The following is a 22064-nucleotide window of genomic DNA, read 5'->3' on the forward strand; positions in this document are numbered from 1 at the left end:
GGGGCAGGGGACGGCATCCTCCCAGATGATCGCACCCAGCCCCGCGCCGCCGCCGCCGCCGCCGTCTCCGCAACTGCACCGCCCGCAAACATGGCTCAGTGACTCGGAGAAAAGCTGCAGTCTCCCTCCCGGCGGGGCGGACGCCAGGCCTCCTTGGTCGGGCCGCACCTCCCCGCAGGCCCGCCAAAGAGCACCGCGCCCCGCAGGCACCCGAGACCCGCGCGGAAGATGCACCGGGCGTTCCACCCCAGCGAGCCCCGCACCCCAGCCCGCAGCTCGGTAGGTCGGAAGGGGGCGGGTAGAGGGAGGGGAGGCCGCGGCCGGGCGCGCGCAGCCCCAGGCCCGGACCTGCCGCTGCAGACGGTCCCCGGGGCCGCGGGCCCTGAGCGCCCGCTGCGGCTGGAGGGTGGCCGAGCCCCGGCGTGGCGTGGCCTCGCGGTTCCCGAGCCCGGCCACCCCTGCGGGGAGCAGCACCAGTGGTGCGCTCCGGAGCGCGCACACCTCCGACGACTCCCGGCTCTGCAAATCCTCGAGAGAGGGAGGAGGCGAGCGGAGCGCCGGCCGCGCGCCTCGTCGGTGGCGCGGAACGTCCCGGCTCGCGCTACGGAAAGCCGGAGGGGGGCGGGGCCGTCGGCGTAAGGGGGTGTGTCCGCGCGCACCACGGGGGCGCGCGCCGGCTGCTGACTGGAGGCGGCGGCAGCGGAGGCGCGAGCTGCCCGATAATGGCGGCCTGCAGAGCCCATGAGAGGGAGAAGCGGCAGCGTCTACCCTGAGGTAAATCTGGCCTTTCGGCGTGGCGGAGAGGTCTTGCTGCAGAGCCGATGGCCCTGCATGTGCCTCCCTCCCTGGGAGGCTTGTCACAGACGTGTCAGCGGAGTCATCCTGGGGAAGGCCCTGCGCTCCTCAGGCCACCGACCCCAGTCGCGGCCTCCTCTCATACCGGGGCCACCTCCCCCCGGCCCTCAGCCCCCAGCCCCGAGGAGTTGAGGCAACTGCAGGGCTGGCTCCTCAGAGCGAAGGGGCTCAGGAGGCTCCCCTCCGGGCTTCATCTGAGCACGGCCGAGGAGGGGGAGGGCCTGACACTTGGCCAATGAGCGCGGCCTGAGCCGCCGCGTCGGGCAACACCTCTGGCCGCGACTGGCCCTTCCCGGGCGCCGGCAGGTGTCTGGCCTGGCCGGCTCGCGTCCCAGCGCCTGGTTAGAGCAGCGGGAGCGAGGGCCCGCCACTTTCGGTCGAAAGTCACTTAGGTTCGCATCGGATGCATCATTGGATCCGGGATCCCACGGGTTTCATAAACACCTCTCTCCTCCCTATTCAGGAAGGTGCTCTTCCCCATGGGGACTGTACCAGGCTGGAGAGGACATGGCACTGCTTCAGAGACACGAACCACCTTGAGTGGATGTGATTGGCGATCCCCGTAGAGCAGGAAAGCTCGTCTGCTGTGCAGCCGGCGCAGAGGATTCTGTGGCAGGAAATTAGACACTAGGAAATTCAGTAGCGATTTGAAGGGTGGGTGTCCAGTTAGAGGAAGTGGGACTGAACACAATCTCAGAAGTCATTTCTTTTTATTAAATCTATCCTGTAGACTTAAAGCAGTGGATCCCAACTTCTCAGGCTCTAGGGTCAGTAGCCTTTTGCTTCCCCAGCTGTACAGAATAAATATTGTACAATCTCAGGTTACTTTTCTAGCCCGTGGTCACAATCTACAAATGAGAATTCGTTCATGAAGTTGGTTATAATCTAGAAATTCTTTGGGCGCTGAGGAAGCCCACTTTAGACTTTCTCCATTCAACACATGAGCATTTCTGTGCAGGGCCTTTGCCCTCGCCTTTAAACCGTTCAGTAAGTTGAATTCCCAAGAACTCTGTCAGAGAGCCCCTTGATATGCAGGATCTTTGTTGGCAAAAATGACCTAGAACTAAATAGATATTGTTTACTCCAGCTGTCTTATGACTAGGAAAAAGGAAACATAAAAATTTTAAAATAGCTATTGTTAAATGACTACAAAAAGGTAACTGTATTCTAAGTATCCAAGTAGCTTACTTTATTTTTAAGTAAATGTTTCTGGCCGGGCGCGGTGGCTCACGCCCGTAATCCCAGCACTTTGGGAGGCCGAGGCGGGCGGATCACGAGGTCAGGTGATCGAGACCATCCTGGCTAACACAGTGAAACCCCGTCTCTACTAAAAAATACAAAAAAAAATAGCCGGGTGTGGTGGCAGGCGCCTATAGTCCCAGCTACTCGGGAGGCTGAGGCAGGAGAATGGCGTGAACCTGGGAGGCGGAGCTTGCAGTGAGCCGAGATCAAGTCATTGCACTCCAGCCTGGGAGACAGAGCGAGAGAGCGAGACTCCGTCTAAAAAAAAAAAAAAAAAAAAAGAAACGTTTCTTTTCCACAAACTTTATTTTCATTATTGTGTAAGAAATAAGGAGATGACATAAGAGACAAAATTAAAATATGAATAGATAGAGTTTGGCCACTTACTTTTACATAATGAAAACAAACATTTTCAGTTCTATAAATGATTTGGTTCACTTTCAGGCCTTAAGCATAAGCCAGGTGTTTGTATTTCTAACTGTGAGGGGGTTTTGTTTTTGCTGTTTTATGACCATTATGTGTGTGTCAGCCTGAAGGAGAAGCTGGGATTTTGCTTGCTTGCTTGTTTTTTCCTGATCAGTAAATAAGAATGCTGAATTTTGGGGGTGTATTTTTAACAGTGACATTTTCAAGCAGTTCATATAAGAGACAGCATACTGTAGTGCTTCAGATCGTGGTCGTCTGAGGCAGATGGCCGGGTTTCAAATCCCAGGTCCACCAGTTACTAGCTGTTGACCTTAGGCGTTTCATTTAACCTCTCCATTATATAGTTTCATCTATAAAAAGACCATAATAGTATCTATCTCATCAGATTATTATGAGGATTAACTGAATTTAATATTCTAAAGAGCTTAAAACAGTTCCTGATACATGGTAAATACTACCTGTTAGCTTTATTGTTACTATTCTTAAAATTAGATTTCCCCTAGGTATAGCAAATATCCTTCAAGCACTGCAGACAGTCAGACAGATGACAAGTAAATCATACATAAGAAGAAATACAAGCCAGTAGGTATACATAATTTCAACAGAGCACTTTGTTGATTTTTCCAGAAACCTCGACCTTGAAGATGGTGAGTAGCCAGCCAAAGTACGATCTAATACGGGAGGTAGGCCGAGGTAGTTACGGTGTTGTGTATGAAGCAGTCATCAGAAAGACCTCTGCACGGGTGGCAGTGAAGAAAATTCGATGTCACGCACCTGAAAATGTTGAACTAGCCCTTCGTGAGTTCTGGGCACTAAGCAGTATCAAGAGCCAACATCCAAATGTGATTCACTTGGAGGAATGCATCCTACAAAAGGATGGGATGGTGCAAAAGATGTCCCACGGCTCTAATTCTTCCCTTTATTTACAGGTATGTGTTGTTGATTGGGAAATAGAAATGATTTGAACATGGCATTGGCCAGCAAGAAGAGGAATGAAAGGGTCAGACGAACGTTTCCCTTTAAATGCAGGTGTTTGTAGTTAGAAGTAGATAAGTGTCTGCCAAGAATTGAGTAGATGTTTGCTTTAAAACAAGGTTTTATTTAAACCTGTGAGGCACATACCTAAAAATAACATAAGCCACCTGTTATGCAATGGTACTTGCCAGTCTGCATAGGAATGGGGCAAGATAGGAACTAGAGAGGTGCTTGAGACTACAGTCTAATAACTTCATTTCTTTGAAATCAATAATTTTGGACTTGAGGACAGAAGAAAAGGAAAAATTCCACAACCAGTAGCAACACCCCTAGGTAATTGGGCATCTCTTTTATAAATCACTGGTTTGAATGTAAGCCTCTGCTGTTTTAGAGGGATATCTGGTTTCTTCACCACGCAGTTCCAGTTAATTTTCATGAAGTACATGATTTAACACCTGAATGTTATTAACAGTGCTAACAGCTAACATTTGAATTTGCATGCAGTTCGATGCTCTGTGCTGAGTGCTTTAAAAGCAGTTGCTCAAAACAATCCTGTGAGGAAAGGACTATTATTATCTTCATTACAAATGAAGAAACTGAGGCTTATAGTATAGATAATGAATTCATCCAAAATCACATACATAGTAAGTGGTACAATTGGGAGCTGGAGCTGAGAATGACAGCTGAAGCTTATGCTTTCTTAACTCCCAGATTACTCTTCTGTAAACCTGGGAAAATGGAAAAGCTTTTCTGTTTTTCTTTTGTTGGCTTCTGCCAGAAATTAAAATCTCTAGTAGCTCTATACTCAAAGAATAGAAAATATATTAAGACATAGCTTGTTAAAGGCTAGGGCAGAATTTCTTAAAGCTAGTCATTCTTGGGCCAGGCACAGTGGCTCACGCCTGTAATCCCAGCACTTTGGGAGGCCAGGACGGGCAGATCACGAGGTCAGGAGATCAAGACCATCCTGGCTAACACGGTGAAACCCCGTCTCTACTAAAAATACAAAAAAATTAGCTGGGCGTAGTGGTGGACGCCTGTAGTCCCAGCTACTGGGGAGGCTGAGGCAGGAGAATGGCGTGAACCGGGGAGGCGGAGCTTGCCGTGAGCCGAGATCGCGCCACTGCACTCCAGCCTGGGCAACTGAGCGAGACTCCGTCAAAAAAAAAAAAACAAAAAGAAACTAGTCATTCTTGGAAAAGAAAACAACTTTCTTTGAGTGTGTCTAAATTCAGAATTTACCATCAGACTTTTACCATTTAAAAGTCTGCTTTTGGGCTGGGCATGGTGGCTCATCACGCCTGTAATCCCAGCACTTTGGGAGGCCGAGGCAGGCGGATCACCTGAGGTCAGGAGTTTGAGACCAGCCTGGCCAACATGGCAAAACCCTGTCTCTACTAAAAAACTACAAAAATTAGCCTGGCATGATAACGTGCAACTGTAGTCCTAACTACTCAGAAGCCTGAGGCCGGAGAATCTCTTGAATCCAGGAGGCAGAGGTTGCAGTGAACCAAGATCGCACCACTGCACTCCAGCCTGGGGGACAGAGCAAGACTCCATCTCAAAAAAAAAAAAAAACTCTGCTTTTGGTCAGGCGTGGTGGCTTACGCCTCTAATCCCAACAATTTAGGAGGGTGAAGCAGGAGGATCACTTCAACCCAGGAGTTCAAGACCAGCCTGGGTAACATAGCAAAACCCCATCTGTACAAAAAAAAAGTGCAAAAATTAGCCAGGCATGGTGGCATGTGCCTTATAGTCCCAGCTACTTGGGAGGCTGAGGTGGGAGGATCACTTGAACCCAGGAGGCAGAGGTTGCAGTGAACTGACATCATGCCACTGCACTGCAGCCTGGGTGACAGCGAGATTCTGTCCCCCAAAACAAAAAAGAAAACAAAACCTCTGTTTTTAAAACAAGAAAAGTTTTGGACTAGGAACAACAAAGAAAACAAATACACGAATGTATGTATTAAGAAACTTGCAAGTTTCCTTGTACGATGAGCAGTATTAGTCTTGAGAACTTAATTTATATTAATTTATATTGCAGTTTAGCACTCTGTGCCCTGAAGTTTTTTGTTTTTTGTTTTTTGTTTTTGAGAAGAAGTTTTTGCTCTTGTCGCCCAGGCTGGAGCGCAGTGGTGCAATCTCGGCTTACTGCCACCTCCGCCTCCCGGGTTCAAGCAGTTCTCCTGCCTCAGCCTCCCGAGTAGCTGGGATTACAGGCAACTGCCACCACGCCCGGCTAATTTTTGTGTATTTAGTAGAGATGAGATTTCACCATGTGGACCAGGCTGGTCTTGAACTTCTGACCTCAGGTGATCCACCCACCTCGGCCTCCCAAAGTGTTGGGATTACAGGCGTGAGCCACTGCGCCCAACCTTTTTTTTTTTTTTTTTTTTTTTTTTTCTTTTTTGAGACAGAGTCTTGCTCTGTCGCTCAGGCTGGAGTGCAGTGGTGCGATCTCGGCTCACTGCAACCTCCGCCTCCCAGGTTCAAGTGATTCTCCTGGCTCAACCTCCTGAGTAGTTGGGACTACAGGTGCCCGTCACCATGCCTGGCTAATTTTTGTATGTTTAGTACAGATGGAGTTTCACCATGTTGGCTAGGCTGGTCTCGAACTCCAGACCTCAAGTGATCCATCTGCTGCAGCCTCCCAAAGTGCTGGGATTACAGGCGTGAGCCACCTCGCCCAGCCAATGCCCTGAAGTTTTCCGTTTTATGACAGTAAAAATAACTAGCCTCTGTGCATTTTATTGTTTGCTTTTCTTAAAGTGCTTATTATGTAAGTTGAATTGATAGAAAATATTGGAAACATTCTTACTATGTTCTCTCTGAAAAGTGAATAGAGGCCAGGCATGATGGTTCACACCTATAATCCTAGCCGAGGCAGGCAGATTGGCTGAGCTCAGGAGTCTGAAACCAGCCTCGGCAACACGGTGAAACTAAAATACAAAAAATTAGCCAGGTGTGGCAGCGTGTGCCTGTAGTCCCAGCTACCCAGGAGACTGAGGCAGGAGAATTGCTTGAACCCGGGAGGCAGAGATTGCAGTGAGCCAAGATCATGTCACTGCACTCCAGCCTGGGTGACAGAACGAGACTCCATCTCCAAAACAAAAACAAAAACAAAAAGTGGATAGAAAGCCAAACATGGTGGCTCACACCTGTAATCCCGGCACTTCGGGAGGCTGAGGCAGGCAGATCACTTGAGGCCAGGAGTTCCAAGACCAGCCTGGGCAACATGGCAAAACCCCATCTCTACGAAAAATACAAAAAGTTAGCTGGGTGTGGTGGCACACACCAGTGGTCCCATCTCCTTGGAAGGCTGAGGTGGGAGGATCACTTGAGCCTTGGAGGCGGAAGTTACAGTGAGCCGAGATTGGGCCACTGCACTCCAGCCTGGGCAAGAGCCAGACCCTGTCTCAAAAAAAAAAAAAAAGTGGATAGAACCTTGCTGAACTTTACATTGAGTTTTAGAGACTAAGAGGCATGATCTATTTTGAACTAGAAAAGCAAAGATATTTAAACAAAAGATTTATTAGCTGAGCATGGTGGCACGCACCTTTAGTCCCAGCTACTCAGGAAGCCGAGGCAGGAGGATTGCTAGAGTCCAGGAGTTCAAGACTGCAGTGAGCCATGATCGCACCACTGCACTCTAGCCTTTATCACAGAGTGGGACCCTGTCTCAAAAATAAACAAATAAACAAACATATTATTTAGTGCTGAGTCCAGATCCAGCAATTGTTATAGTAGCTAGGCATTAGCTCATAAAGTTTTAAGATGTAAAGGCCTACCAGACTTGATTCAGTGATTTTTATATCTAAAGCACCTTTTTGTTTAGTAAATCTCTTTCATCTTTTAAAGCCTGATAGACTTGTGTTTCACTTATGGTATGTTTTGCTAGCTGAATGACCTTGGATAAATAACCCAACTCTTCCTAGCCTCTATTTCTTCATATTTAAGATAAGGGGTAATAATATCTACTTTGTATAGGAGTTGTCAAAATTAGAGATGTTGCAGAAACAATACTTGGTACATATAAGTACTCAGTAATTGGTACCTCTATTAAAATTGCCCTTTCTGTGGATTCGTTTAGTTGTCCAGACATTCATCAACACATTTAGCAAGTGCCCTCTCTAAATTTACATCTAGTAAAGACAACCAATATTTACATTTAGTAAAGACAAACAAATCTGTAGTATGACCTCAGAGTCCCTATGCATGGTATATTCTCCATACGGATTTTAATTTTTCTCCATGTTTTTCCTGATGTCTTCTTCCTTGTTCTCAGTTGGAATCATTGAATCAGTTCCTGATAGCCAAAAGCCTCATCTAGAAGAAAATGTAAAACAATTAACAGAGGTTACAATCTCATGCATGGGAACCTAGTGGCCAGTCTGTGTACTTGTGATAAATATCATGAATGAGAAGTACAGGATGCATACAACAGGGAAACCTACATAATCCCGTGGTTCAAAAGTTACGAATCGTTGGCTGGACGCAGTGGCTTACGCCTGCAATCCCAGCACTTTGGGAGGCTGAGGCAGGTGAATCACTTGAGTGCAGAAGTTCAAGATTAGCCTGGACAACATGGTGAAACCCTATCAATACAAAAAGTTTAAAAATTAGACGGGCGTGGTGGTGCATGCCTGTAGTCTCAGCTACTTGGGAGGCTGAGGCAGGAGGATCATTTGAGCCAGGGAGATTGAGGCTGCGGTGAGCCATGATGGTGCCACTGCACTCCAACCTGGGTAGTAGAGCAAGACCTTGTCTCTCTCTCTCTCTCTCTCTCACACACACACACAAAATATATATATAATTGTCTAAAACTTGTAGTGTGAAGAGGAGTTAGCTAGATAAGTGAGAAAAATTTCCTAGGCAGAAAAAAACTGTACATACAAAGGTCGTGAAGCAAAACACATGAAGTGTTTAAAAATTGAAAGAAGAGGCTGGGCGCAGTGGCTCACACCTGTAATCCCAGCACTTTGGGAGGCCGAGAGGCGGATCACAAGGTCAATACATCAAGACCATCCTGGCCACAATGGTGAAACCCTGTCTCTACAAAAAATTCAAAAATTAGCTGGGCATAGTGGCGCATGCCTGTAGTCCCAGCTACTTGGGAGGCTGAGGCAGGAGAGTCTCTTGAACCTGGGAAGCAGAGGTTGCAGTGAGCCGAGATCGCGCCACTGCACTCCAGCCTGGCAACAGAGTGAGACTCTGTCTCAATAAAAAAAAAATTGAAAAAAGATAGTGAGATTGTGAGAGTTGTTTTAGATGAGGCTAGAGGGGACAGCAGGAGTCAGAGCACACAAGGTCTCATAACCCATGTTAAAGAGTTTAGACTATATCCTAAGAGAACAGGGAAGCCATTGAAGGGCCTCAGTCAAGAGAAATCAATGGCTAACATCCTCTACATGTTAAAATAAGCAGATTGGGTGCTGCATTTCCATAGCTCTCAGCCAGCGGCCCCGTGGCCTGTTTTCGTATGGTTTCGATGCTAAAAATAGTTCTTAGATTTTTTTTTAAGACTTCTGGGGGTAAAAAAGAAAGGAAGAAGTATATGGTACAGAGACCTTATGTGGCTGTCAAGCCCGAAATATTTACTATCTGGCCTTACTCTAAAACATTCTTTGAACGCTGGGACTCTGCATTGCTCAAAGCTATTTAGGAAGTTTGCTTTTGAGAGTAAAGACAGAAGAAGAAAAGCATGTTTAGTATCAGTGCACCTGGTAAATAATTATGTGATCTGTACCTTTCTTTCATTTTTCTGTCTCACTGGCAAACATGTGCAACAAGGAAAACTCATGCAAAAGAGATATCTGCAGATCATCGCAATTACTATTGTCTGCCATGTGGAGAGATGGCGTGAAGAGATGTTCTTTGCTTGTGCTTTCCCAGATGGTAGAGAAAGTACCAGTAGATTTAAATGTGAAATTAGCAATTCATTCACTCTTCAGCAACTCTTCGGCCTTTTCTGTTCAACTCATGGGTCTGAAAAGGGCACCATACAACAAATGCTTTTAAAAGACAATATACGGGGCCGGGTGCCATGGCTCATGCCTATAGTCCCAGCACTTTGGGAGGCCGAGGTGGGCGGATCACGAGGTAAAGAGATTGAGACCATCCTGGCCAACATGGTGAAACCCCGTCTCTACTAAAAATACAAAAGTTAGCTGGGCGTGGTGGCACGCGCCTGTAGTCTCGGCTACTTGGGAGGCCGAGGCAGGAGAATCTCTTGAACCTGGGAGGCGGAGGTTGCAGTGAGCCGAGATTGCGCCATTGCACTCCAGCCTGGTGACAGAGCAAGACTCCGTCTCAAAAAAAAAAAAAAAAAAAGACTATGTACTGTATTTTAGAGTGATAGTTCATGTCCAGTGAAGTAATTCTATTGAATTTCAAGTAAAGGAGCGTTATAACTAGATAATAATAACAAATAAAACTGTGATTTAGTCTAGGTTTTCAGCTTGTATGAAAGAAGAAATATACAAATTCAGAGTTGATTTTTTAATATCAAAATGCATATTTGAAAACAAAATAAATATTTAAAAATTTAAAAAATGCCTATTTGATTTTTATAAATTGGTTTTTAAAAGTCATCCAGTGAAAGAGCCAACGTATTTGCATTCTGCCTATAGAAGTTTATGAAGTAACGACGTCAGTCTTTATTTTATTAGTGACTACAGGAACAGCTATTTCTGCAACAGCTGGTTGTTCCTTGATCATTTTTCTCTCGATTTCACAGGTTATGTTGATAGTGTCTGTGCAATCAGTAAGAAGTATATTTCAGGCGATTTCATTGAATAGCGTTTCCTAATTGAGGTTTATACCCCAGCTGGCAATTTCCTAGGTCTATCTGCTGAAACTTTGGTCTTTTCATGAAGCTATGAGCTAGCTGGGTAGAGTTCAGCTCCACTGACACATGGAGAAAATGTGTGGCCACTTGGACGCTTTTCAAAATAAAGCTATTTTAAAATTTTTACCCCTTGGTTTAGAGCTTTGGTGTATATTTATCAGGGACAAAATGACAAGTTGAAGCATTTTTTAAAGTTTAAAATGCATATTTGAAAGCACTGATTAAATAAAATATTTATAGAGTTTCCACTTAAAGGTGGAGACTGACTTAACCTTTCAATTATTATTTTCCTATAACTGAATTGTATAACCTATGCAAATGATTGTAATCTTTTTTCTTCCTTCTTGTAGCTTGTAGAAACTTCATTAAAAGGAGAAATTGCCTTTGATCCCAGAAGCGCCTATTATTTGTGGTTTGTGATGGATTTTTGTGACGGAGGAGATATGAATGAGTATCTGTTGTCCAGGAAACCCAATCGTAAAACTAACACCAGCTTCATGCTTCAGCTGAGCAGTGCCCTGGCTTTCTTGCATAAAAACCAGATCATCCACCGAGATCTTAAGCCTGATAACATCCTGATTTCTCAAACCAGGTTGGATACCAGTGACTTGGAACCTACCCTCAAAGTGGCTGATTTTGGTCTAAGTAAAGTTTGTTCAGCCTCTGGGCAGAACCCAGAAGAACCTGTCAGTGTAAACAAGTGTTTCCTTTCCACAGCATGTGGAACAGATTTTTACATGGCTCCTGAAGTTTGGGAAGGACATTACACAGCAAAAGCTGACATCTTTGCTCTGGGGATTATCATCTGGGCAATGCTGGAAAGGATCACATTCATAGACACAGAGACAAAGAAGGAACTCTTGGGGAGTTATGTAAAACAAGGAACTGAGATTGTGCCTGTTGGGGAGGCACTTCTGGAAAATCCCAAAATGGAACTTCTCATTCCTGTGAAGAAAAAATCTATGAATGGGCGAATGAAACAACTGATTAAGGAAATGCTGGCTGCAAACCCTCAGGATCGTCCAGATGCTTTTGAACTAGAACTCAGATTAGTACAAATTGCATTTAAAGATAGCAGCTGGGAAACGTGACACATATTATTTGCAAATACCATGGATGATATGCTGCTTCTGTTTAACAGTGATGCAACATTATGTGGCTGAAAAAGAATATAAAAAGCTAGACTCTACCCTCTAAGGGTTTAGATTTTTTGTGGGATTTTTTTTTTCCTCATTTTTCTTAAATCCAAGTTGGCCGTTTTATTAGTATGTTTCAAATGTGTATTACCAATGTGGGTGTAAATTTTTAAAAAATGATTATTGATAGAAGTTTGGCAGGAAAATTCTTTAAGAGCTAACAAGAGAAGAGAGTCCAGTTTTCTGGAAATATGTCTTTAAGTATTTTAGACATTCCTCGTCAGTATTAGGAATTTCCATGGGAAAAGAGGTTTGCATGCTGGTAATGCAACCTTTGAAACTTTGTAAAGGAAACATATATGTATATATTTATGTATATGTAAGTATGTGAATGTGCGCATTTTGCATTCCATATGAAAAAAATGCCACGTCTGTTTAAATTATTTGATGTAGGTTTGGGTTTTTGAGATTTGCTGGTGAAGTCAGTGACGAAAAATAAACCTTCCCTTATCTTCCTACTCTGCCCCTCCCCCTAATGAAATCATATTAAGTTGTTTTTTTTTTTTTTTGTAATATACAGCTTTTTTTTTAAGGCATCATTTTCGAGGGTCTAAAATTATCTGGTAAAACAAATGAAATTAAGTGATCCAAAGCTGCTGAAGTATGTTTGAACTCTCCAGTGCCCTATAGCTGCAAGAGTTGAATTAGTCATGCAGTCATATGGCAGCAGGTTGGTGATTCAGTCCGACCTTCTTTAGGTAACCGAGCATTTATTTAACCAACTATACCACTGCATTGGGACGTCTGCACTTGAGCTTCTACAATCTGATATAAATCTGAATACAGGATTATTCTGTTTGAAAACTTTGCTATGTGTGAACTGTAATACTTGATACATTTTTGGTTTGAAGACTTTGTCTAAGCCTCATTATACTGAAGTTGAAGAAACCAAATGAGCTCCACCCTCACTTTGCCTGCCCTGATATGATCACTTGTTGAGTCACTGGAGTTCCTTTCATTTTGGCACTGATGCTGTTTTCTCTTGTCTGATTTGAAACAGTACTGGTAATAATATGGTTGTTGAAAATGTGATCACCTTTATCTAAAGTGGGAGAAGATACATACACAGTATGGCAAATGGATAAAATATTGTGGCATCAACTACTTTTAAAGTAGAAAAGCTATCCATTTTATACAATCACTGATACAGTCTATGTCAAAAAACCAACAGACCATTATTCCTCTTGAAGTTAGTTTGATTTTATCTTTGTATGGTTGTCTACAATTTGTTTTCCTGTAAATGCAGATAGTTAAAATCTAAAGGATAGAATGCTTTCCTAAAACAGAACATTAGCCTTTAAGGTTAAATAGACTTTACATTGTATCTAAGTTAATCTTTATAAAGCACTAGAATTTTTGGTCAAAAGTCAAAATAGTATTAGAATATTGAAATTATTGATAGCTTTCATAATCTCAGCTTTTTTGAACTTCCACAATTTTTGGAATATGTCATAATTTTTTTCCCTGTTTCAAATGTGTTCAGAGGAAATAGAATGTAAAACATCACAAAAAAAATTGCAGTACATAAAATTTCTGGACTATGTTAGTTACTTGATCTGGAAGTTTAAAATTTGGACTAAAAGGTTTTATTGAAATAAAGCCTCTTAAAATGAAAAATCATATACTTTTAACATCACTTTTAAGCTAATAAATATAAGAATTCTTTTGGAAATTAGAGGTGGAAACACACTGGAACCTCATGATAATTGACCCTCTGGATCACCAGATTAGTTTAATTTAACAGATATGTCCAAGGAAGTTGAGCTATAGGGAGTAAGAAAAAGCATCATGATAACGTCTAGTCAATAACATGGCACTTCAGCAGAGATTCATAGATGATGGTATGCCCATGCATCATTTGCTCTTCAAATATCTATGTGCTTGGAGCCACAGTTTCCTAAGCGCATAGTTTTTGGTCCTGCCTCATGTAAAATAGTTAATGATTATCATTTACTTGGAAAGATTTTACCTGTGAAGTGAAATTCTTTCATTGGGGGTAAGGGTATGAGGTGATCAGGAAGTTTCTTCTGGAATTTTATCAAGTCCTTGTATTCTAAAATAGCCAAGCAAAATGATAGTAAATTCTTTGTCTTTGTTCTTTCAGTCAGAGGTATTTATTAAGTACCTACTGTGTGCTCAGCACTAAAGGTTTGTTGATAAAATGACAATTAAAAAATGGCATTTAGCCAAAGGCCTTTTCAGCCAGGAGTAAGAAAAGATGGTTAGTGATATTTGGAAATACCTGGATATTTGCTAGAGGAAAAATGAAAGCAAAACTTCGTACACAGTGCCTTGCCCATAATAGGTACTCAATAAGCAATTGTTCCTCATAGAGTCTTTTGCCATGATTTATGGTGTTTTTTGAAATTTGTCTTAATTGAAAAAAGACCAAATATTTCAAATGAGCTTATAGGCAGCTGTGGCCAGTGAAAATATGGGGTTGTACAGTTAGTTCCTAGAATGTTATTTTGCACTAGTTGTCACTTAGAAAGATGGGGTTCCTGTAGATTTTTTGGTGCTAAGGGATACTTTGTCATTATGATGAAGTAAGTGTTAAGTGTCAGATAAATAGCACACAGAATAGTTCTTTCTGCTGGTCTGTTTTTTCTCTTCGTTGTTGTTGTTTTTAATTGTAAATTGTTATCAATCAAACTATTGTAGCAGCTACAAAGTAATTCACCAGCATGACAAAATGGTCAAAAAATAAGTCATCAGCACTTAAGAAATGAAAGCAACTTTTGAAATTTTCTGTTAAAATTGTCAAATATATTTTATGAAGAATTTATAAAAGGGGAAAATGATTGTAATTTATTGTTCATGACTTTTTTTTTTAAATAAAGTGAGTTTCAACAAAAAAAAAACTGAAAATTCTACATTGCTGCTTTAGTGGCTCTGTGAGTAGTTCTGTAGTACTTTACTTCATGAGCATAAAATAGAAGGTATAAAATCTGAAACAATGTATTTTTCAGACTTACCTTTTAAATGATTCTGAAATAGAAGTGATTGCCAAGGAAAAGATGATTGAATTATAGGAGTTTCAGCATTTCAAGTTCTCTGAAATTTTAGTGCTGTCTTGCTGTATTTGCTTTGCACACAAGAAGAACTCGTATTGCCAGAGATGAAATTTTTTATTCATTTATCCTTCTGTTTCATTAAGCTGAGGATGCAGCTCAGACTCAGCATAATATATATTAAATAAATGAGAGGATGCAGTTTTTCAATCTATAACTTGAGACGATGGTTTAATTTTCTATTAAAAATTTGGGCCCACTTTTTTATGTTTATCATTTCTGCCTGAAGATACAGTCTATTTAGTGGTCCAATGGAACAGCAGAGGAGAATATGGAAGACAGAAAACAACTCTACATGTGACCTAGTGAAAGTAGGCATCAAGAATTGTGGCTTCAAAAATCAAACCAAAAAAATAGGGGAAAAAAAAAGAATTGTAGCTTCCTACTCTTCTGCTTTCCCTTGGTATAACCTTTATAGACAGGCAAATTTTGCTTTCTAGAGATTGTTTTTAATTGAAGCTTTAAATATTTGTATTTACTAGCATTTTGTAATCCTTTGCAGTTTACAAAGCACCTTCACATGGTTTTTACGTATCTTTTTCACTGAGTTTTACTTAAAATAGGGGCTGATTTCCTGATGAAATTAACAGTAATTACACCAGTTACTGAGATGATGACAAAAGGTTTTACCTTAAGACAGGGTTTTGGTGCCTAATCTCTGACTCCAGTTGGAGTTTTCTCTGACAACGAAGCTTTATCTTTCTCACTGATGTAATGACACTTGGTTGTTTTGGTCTTTTCTTTAAATTCAAATGTTGCTCTCTTTGCCAACCAATCATAGACATCCTGTAAAGTGCAGTGTAATGACAGACGGTTGGTTTGTGGTTAGATAATAACTCCCACTTGAGAAAACCTACAAGGCTGCCACACCTCTTGAAGGCCAAGTGCGTCTTTTAAAGGCAGTACTTTCACCTTTGCAATCATTTTTCATTGCACAGAAGGAAATTGAGAAAAAAAAAAAGCTTGGGCTTTGACTTTACTCTTTTATTTCCTGTTCAGCCCAGTATTTCAAGCTCAGCTTGTTCTGAGCAGAAGTTGGGCAACTTGATATTACCAAAGGCATCCTGGTCTAGCAGAAAAAGCCCAGGCTTTGGAGTAGCAGATGTTGTGTGGTAGCTCATGCCTGTAATCCCAGCACTCTGGGAGGCCGAGGTAGGTGGATCACCTGAGGTCAGGAGTTCGCGACCAGCCTGGGCAACATGGTGAAACCCCATCACTATTTTTAAAAATACAAAAATTAGCTGGGTGTGGTGGCGGGTGCCTGTAATCCCAGCTACTTGGGCGGCTGAGGCAGGAGAATCGCTTGAACCCAGGAGGCAGAGGCTTCAGTGAGCCGAGACCGCACCATTGCACTTCAGCCTGGGCAATGAGCGAAACTCCATCTTAAAAAAAGAAAAAATTCATCAAGCTGCACTTAAAATGTTTACATTTTTCTCTAGGTATGTTATACTTCAAGAAAAATTTTATTTTTAAAAAATGTGCATTGGGGCTACTGGTGACAGCTATTATCAGGCAGAAGGAAAGGACACAGACTTTGAAAATAGACTCTTTACCTTTCTGTTACTAGCTGTGTGACTTTCATGAGTTCCCTAGCCCCTCAAATTCAGTTTCCCACATGTTTAAGCAGAGACAGTACCTGACTCAGAGCGCTGTGAAGATAAAAGGAGCCAATGCATGTAGAAATGCGTGGCATGCTCAGGAAATGTCAGTGCTTCCCGTTCACCCGGGAGGACTCCTAGGAAATGACTCTGAGCTGCCTTTACTGCTAATTTGTACTGCTGATAGGGAGCACGTTGATTGGTTTGTTTAATTTAGCTTACATTTTTACCACAATTATTAGAGAAATACATTCGGTTATGGTGATGTCCTGCGTGTCTCTTTGCCCTGCAGCCCTATTTAAGAACAAGGATAGTTCAATAAAAATCCCCTCAGCCCAGTTTTCTTTCCTCCTTCTACTTGCTGATCACATGATTGATAGTAATTCAGGATGTTTACTGTCTCTTTCACATAGACTACCATGCGTGGAAATTAGGAAAGTAGTAATAAGTACCAAATACTAGAATGACATGCCATTTCTCCTGGCTTTAGGTAGAAGGCAGGGAGCGTTTACTGACGTGATTTGAGAAGCAACAGTAGAAGCACAGCTGTGAGGGCGGCGTGGAGCAGGGCAGCAATGGCTAGAACTTGGAAGTTGGAATTACAGTAGACTCAGTGTTTCTCAACTCTGGCTACTTGTTACAATTTTAACCTGAGGAGGGCAAAAGCAAGCAAAAATCCTGATGACTTCTGCTTCTGGCCATTATGGAGTAACAGGGTTCTATTCCTGCCATAAACAACTCAAATGTCAGACACTGGGAAACTAGCAGTGCACGACAGCAATCCCTGGGAGAAAAGGATCAAATGGGGTGAGCCCTGTGGTTGCCCCAACTTGGAGGGAATCTTTAGGCTGCTGTACAGGGAATAAGTACCTAAACAAGGTTCAACAGTCTCCCTGAGTTGAGGAGACAGAATTTAGGGTTCAGGGAGCACAAGCCAGCTAGGATTCATGGGGCAGAGTATCAGAGAGAGAGAGAGAGACAGATGGTAACAAAGAATTCCAGACCTTGTTGTTTATTTTTTTTCTTTTCTTTTTTGTCCTGTTTTTTATTTGTCGGTGAGAGTTCCAGACCTTTGCAGAAAGTTTTTTTCAAGACATCAGCTGAGGCAGGGCCAGGTAACTCACATCTGTAATCCCAGTACTTTAAGAGGCCAAGCCAGAATGATCACTTGAGCCCAAGAGTTGGAGACCAGCCTAGGCAACATGGTGAAACCCTGTCTCTACAAAAAATAAAATAAAATTATCCAGGTGTGATGGTGTTTGCCTATAGTCCCAGCTACTTGGAGGCTGAGTTGGGAGAATCACCTGAACCCAGGAAAGTCAAGGCTGCAGTGAGCTGGAATCACCACGCTGCACTCCACCCTGGGCGGCAGAGCAAGACCTGCCTTAAAGAAAACATACACACTCACACACACACTCTCTCTCTCTCTCTCTCTCACACACACACACACACTCACACACTCACATTCACACACACAGTATCAGCTAAGTACTAATCAGTCATGCTTATGAAGAAACTATCAGACCTGAATGCAGGAAAGATCCCCTGAAAGGATTAGGCAGAACAATCCTGGAGCTCACACAGGACCAAGAATAATTGATATTTCCACCAGCCAGAACAGAAAGACCTTCTTCCAATATACAGAGCATCACAGAAGAGTATTGTCTCAGTAGTGAGGCCAAGGCTAACAGCTATTCTGGACCTGTCTATCCAAGCTTAAAAGTAAGTCTTGAAAGGTACACAGACAAAATTATAGCAAATTTGATTTAAAGATCTATATTGGCTTTTCTTTGTGATTCTAGAAAAAGGCAACACCTTATTCTATAAAATACAGTGAGTATTCCGATAAGCCAAGCAGAAAAGTATGGTTTTATAGACAGAAAAGGCCTGAGAAAAGCAGAAACAGAGAACAGAAAATTGTCTGGTTGTTTCAAAGTTACTTTCCTTATAGAGTTAAAACAGACACAGGCGTAGTGGGTTGCTGCGCCCTCCCAGGCGGTCCCAACAACTAGTGGACCAGAGCCCCCAGGGGACACAGCCTAAGTCCCTGCCCATCAGATCATCTGGAACTTCTGCCCAGAGAGGATCTGGAACTTCTGCCCAGAGAGGAGAGAGCGACTGGAAATTCTCTCAGTCAAGGTCCAAACCTAAAAGAATCACTGGCACGCCCAGCAGGACTAAGACCAATTTTTAATGAAATGTTTTCTGTGTTTGGGGTGCATAACTATATTTCTTTATAACAAAATTACTTAAATGTTTTGATTTTTTATTCCTCATATGCATGGCCTGTGACAGACCAGGGGACTTGTAAGCTCACAGTCCATGAGGTCAGAAGCTGACATCCTAAATGTCTATTTATAATGAATTTAAACAGACCAAAAACTCTGCTATGAAACTCGGAAAGACAAGCAATTTAGCAAAAATGAACCAGTCTCTAAATAAATAAAAAGATTAAAATTTAAAAATTAAAAACAACAACAACAACAAAAACAGAGGGAACTTCATTTTCATGCCAGCTCAGGTAAACTGGGCCCCTTTTGATTGGTTGCTGCGAATCTCCTGGGGGTATTTTTTTGGTAGCGGGGTGGGGGGTGGACTGGCCTGTTTCAGAGTTCAGTTTAATTATGTGGCACCCAGCATGAGTGACTCCATTCTGATTTGGCTCGGTCTGCTAGTGCTAGTGTACGAGGCTAGTCCAAAATAATGGTCTCCTATACATTTTATTTAACAAAATACATTTTTTTCTAAGTAACATAATGTGCTAGAACAAAGCTCAAAAATACTTGAGTCCAAAAATTCCACTTCTCAACAATATAAAATTCAAAATGTCTGCCAGCCAATTAAAAATATTAGAAATGGGCCAGGTACAGTGGCTCATGCCTGTGATCCTAGCACTTCGGAAGGCCAAGGCAAGAGGATTGCTTAAGTCCAGAAGTTCAAGACCAGCCTGGGCAACATAATGAGACCTCATCTTTACCGGGAAAAAAAAAAAAAGGAATTAGCTGGGGGTTCTGGTGTGGTGGCACATGCCTGTAGTCCCAGCTATTCAGGAGGCTGAGGCGGGAGGAGCACTTGAGCCCAGGAGTTGGAGGCTGCAGTGAGCCGAGATCGCACCACTGCACTCCAGCCTGGAGACAAAGCAAAACCCCAACTCAAAAAAAAAAAAAAAAAATTAGGACTTCTAATTTCTGGTTTGGCACAAAAGGAGCCTAAAAGTCACCACTCCATCCTAACAACAATTAAAAAGCTGAACACATGGAAAAATCAACCACTCTTCTTAGATATGTCAGAGCAGTGAGGTCACAGGGCAAACTGCTGCCCCTGTAATTGGAGAGATGCATTGGTAGATACAGAATATCACAATTTACTAGTGTGGAAAAGGTGCAGGGGTAGGAAAACCTAAACTGTAATTGATGAATTGCTTAGTATGGTCAACTCTGAGAGTTAAAAAGCCCAGGGGGACCCAATCACAGGAGGCTCCCCACACTATTACCTCCAGGAGCTCTGCCAGATCCTCACAGGTGCTCATTCTTCTGCTAACGGGAGGGGGAAAGGAACCATTTTGAAACCTGCCTGAACATTCTGTTCTTAACAAGGACAACCCTCAGGAGCAACTATTTTACCACAGCCTCATCTGTTGTGGTTTTATCAGCTGACCCTAACCTATCTGAGGGTATTCCAGCCCCCTCTAGCCATCCTGACCACCTAAGGGAACTTCACCAAGAGAAGCACTGGTGAAGTTCACAGTCCAAGGGCACAGGCTCACCTATGAAAAGCCCATGACCAAATCATAGGATTATAGAACACCCACCATCCCCAAATGTTACTACATTACTAAAGGCCTATTTATGGCAGTTCCTTTAGCCAGTACATTCCATCCACCTTTCACAAAAAAGTACAAGGGATACTAAAAAGCAAAAAATACAATTTGAAAAGTCTGAACAATCATCAGAATCTGAGTCAGTTATGGCAAGAATCCTGGAACTATCAGGCCAGGGATTTTTTTTTAAATTGTGATTAATATGCTAAGGACTTCAATGGAAAAAGTAGACAATATGCACACACAGATGGATAATGTAAGCAGAGAAATGGAAATTCTAAGGGTCAAAAAGATGCTAGAAATCAAAAACTCTGTAATAGAGATGAAGAATGCTTTTGATGGGCTCATTAGCAGACCGGACATGGCTGAGGAAAGAATTTCTGAGCTTGAACATATGACAAAACAAACTTCCAAAACTGAAAAGCAAAGAGAAAACGTCTAAAAAAATTTTTTTAAAGAACGGAATATCAAATAATTGTCGGCCAACTATAAAAGGTATAACCTACATGTAATGGGACTATGACAGGGAGAAAAAGGAGAGAAAGGAACAGAAGCAATAGTTGAGGTAATAATGACTGAGAATCTCCCCCAATTTTTTTGTTTTTTTGTTTTTTTGTTTTTGAGACAGGGTCTGGTTCTGTCACCCAGACTGGAGTGCAATGGTGCGATCTCGGTTCACTGCAACCTCTGCCTCCTGGGCTCAAGCCATCCTCCTGCCTCAGCCTCCCTAGTAGCTGGGACTACAGGCATCTGCTAATTTTTGTATTTTTTTGTAGAGATGGGGTTTCGCCATGTTGTCCAGGCTAGTCTTGAACTCCTGAGCTCAAGCAATTTGCCTGCCTTGGCCTCCCAAAGTGCTAGGATTACAGGTATGAGCCATCATGCCCAGTCAAATTTCCCCAAATTAATGTCAGACACCAAACCACAGATCCAGGAAACTCAGAGAACACCAAGCAGGATAAATGCCAAAAAACCCACAAAATGACACCTAGACATATTCAAACTATACCTAGACATATTCAAATTTCAGGAAATCAAAAATAAAAAATCTTAAGAGAAGTCAGACAGAAAAAAGCACCTTACCTATAGAGGAGTAAAGATAAGAATTACACTCAACTTCTCAGAAACCATGCAAGCAAGAAGCAAGTGTAGGAAAATGTGTAGTGTTGAGAGAAAAAAACCCACTAACCTAGAATCCTGTACCCTGTGAAGTTGTCCTTCAAAAGTGATGGAGAGGTCAGGCACAGTGGCTCACACCAATAATCCCAGCACTTTGGGAGGCCTAGGTTGAGAATCACTGGGCAGCCTGGGCAATGTAGTGCGACCCAATCTCTACAAAATAAAAAATTTAAAAAATTATAGCTGGGTGTGGTGGTGAGGTAGGAGAACTCGACTCCAGAGGCAGGGCTTGGACATCAGACCAAATTGAGGACTAGTTAACACAGGTCCCTGTATGGAAGCAGCTTTCCATAAGACACGCCCACCAGTGTGCCATGTCAGTTTACCGTTGTCATAGCAACACCTGGAAGTTACCACCCCTTTCCATGGCAATGACCTGACGACTCAGAAGTTACCATGCTTATCCTAGAAATTTCTGCATAAACCACCCCTTAATTTGCATATAATTAAAAGTGGGCTAAAAATATGAGTGAAGAACATATTCTGAGCTGCTATTCTGGGCACTGCCCTGCCCTACAAGGAGCAGTACTTCTGCTGCTGCTGTACACTGCTACTTCAATAAAACTTGCTGTTTACCGCCATTGGCTCCCATTGAATTCTTTCCTAGGTGAAGCCAACAACCCTCCTGGGCTAAACTCCAATTCTGGGGCATGCCTATCCTGCATCAGTGGTGCACACCTGTAGTCCCAGCTACTCAGGAGGTTGAGGTGGGAGCCCTGAGGCTTGAGCCCTGAAAGTCAAGGCCACAGTGAGCCATGATCACGCCACTGCACTCCAGCCTGGGTGACAGAGCAAGACCCTGTTTCAAAAAAAAGGTGATGGAGGGCCAGTTGCAGTGGTATGTGCCTGTAGTCC

General features: G+C 42.8%; 1 protein-coding gene across 3 annotated transcripts, besides 6 other annotated features; it reads left to right on the forward strand.

Annotated features, from left to right (window-relative positions):
* Window positions 21-14414, forward strand: PDIK1L (PDLIM1 interacting kinase 1 like). 3 transcript variants are annotated; one of them, NM_001243533.2, is made up of 4 exons: window positions 683-774; window positions 1319-1509; window positions 3151-3452; window positions 10696-14414. In NM_001243533.2, exons 3-4 carry the CDS (start codon window positions 3168-3170, stop codon window positions 11434-11436), a joined length of 1026 nt encoding a protein of 341 aa, NP_001230462.1. In that variant the 5' UTR covers window positions 683-774; window positions 1319-1509; window positions 3151-3167; the 3' UTR covers window positions 11437-14414. The 3 variants fall into 3 exon arrangements, with proteins under 3 accessions (NP_001230461.1, NP_001230462.1, NP_690048.1); NM_001243532.2 differs by lacking the exons at window positions 683-774; window positions 1319-1509 and adding an exon at window positions 21-279; NM_152835.5 differs by lacking the exon at window positions 1319-1509.
* Window positions 37-676: a silencer, noted in NCBI's record as "silent region_472". NCBI's record gives its function as "represses an Ori minimal core promoter by ATAC-STARR-seq in GM12878 lymphoblastoid cells {active_cell/tissue: GM12878}" and the evidence as "EXISTENCE:reporter gene assay evidence [ECO:0000049][PMID:35858748]".
* Window positions 727-956: an enhancer, noted in NCBI's record as "active region_479". NCBI's record gives its function as "activates an Ori minimal core promoter by ATAC-STARR-seq in GM12878 lymphoblastoid cells {active_cell/tissue: GM12878}" and the evidence as "EXISTENCE:reporter gene assay evidence [ECO:0000049][PMID:35858748]".
* Window positions 1337-1446: an enhancer, noted in NCBI's record as "active region_480". NCBI's record gives its function as "activates an Ori minimal core promoter by ATAC-STARR-seq in GM12878 lymphoblastoid cells {active_cell/tissue: GM12878}" and the evidence as "EXISTENCE:reporter gene assay evidence [ECO:0000049][PMID:35858748]".
* Window positions 2491-2540: a silencer, noted in NCBI's record as "silent region_473". NCBI's record gives its function as "represses an Ori minimal core promoter by ATAC-STARR-seq in GM12878 lymphoblastoid cells {active_cell/tissue: GM12878}" and the evidence as "EXISTENCE:reporter gene assay evidence [ECO:0000049][PMID:35858748]".
* Window positions 12297-12591: a silencer, noted in NCBI's record as "tiled region #12487; HepG2 Repressive non-DNase unmatched - State 15:Elon". NCBI's record gives its function as "represses a minimal TATA promoter and a strong SV40 promoter by Sharpr-MPRA in HepG2 cells {active_cell/tissue: HepG2}" and the evidence as "EXISTENCE:reporter gene assay evidence [ECO:0000049][PMID:27701403]".
* Window positions 17517-17811: a silencer, noted in NCBI's record as "tiled region #4586; K562 Repressive DNase matched - State 5:Enh". NCBI's record gives its function as "represses a minimal TATA promoter and a strong SV40 promoter by Sharpr-MPRA in K562 cells {active_cell/tissue: K562}" and the evidence as "EXISTENCE:reporter gene assay evidence [ECO:0000049][PMID:27701403]".

This window comes from Homo sapiens, chromosome 1, assembly GCF_000001405.40.
Source record: "Homo sapiens chromosome 1, GRCh38.p14 Primary Assembly".
In the NCBI taxonomy this organism is placed as follows: Eukaryota; Metazoa; Chordata; class Mammalia; order Primates; family Hominidae; genus Homo; species Homo sapiens.

Bases quoted from the DNA above. Each gene is read 5' to 3' on its own strand.
- PDIK1L (NM_001243532.2), top strand. From the start codon at position 3,168: ATGGTGAGTAGCCAGCCAAAGTACGATCTAATACGGGAGGTAGGCCGA. The intron at 3,453-10,695 runs GTATGTGTTGTT...TCCTTCTTGTAG, and splicing joins ATTCTTCCCTTTATTTACAG to CTTGTAGAAACTTCATTAAA.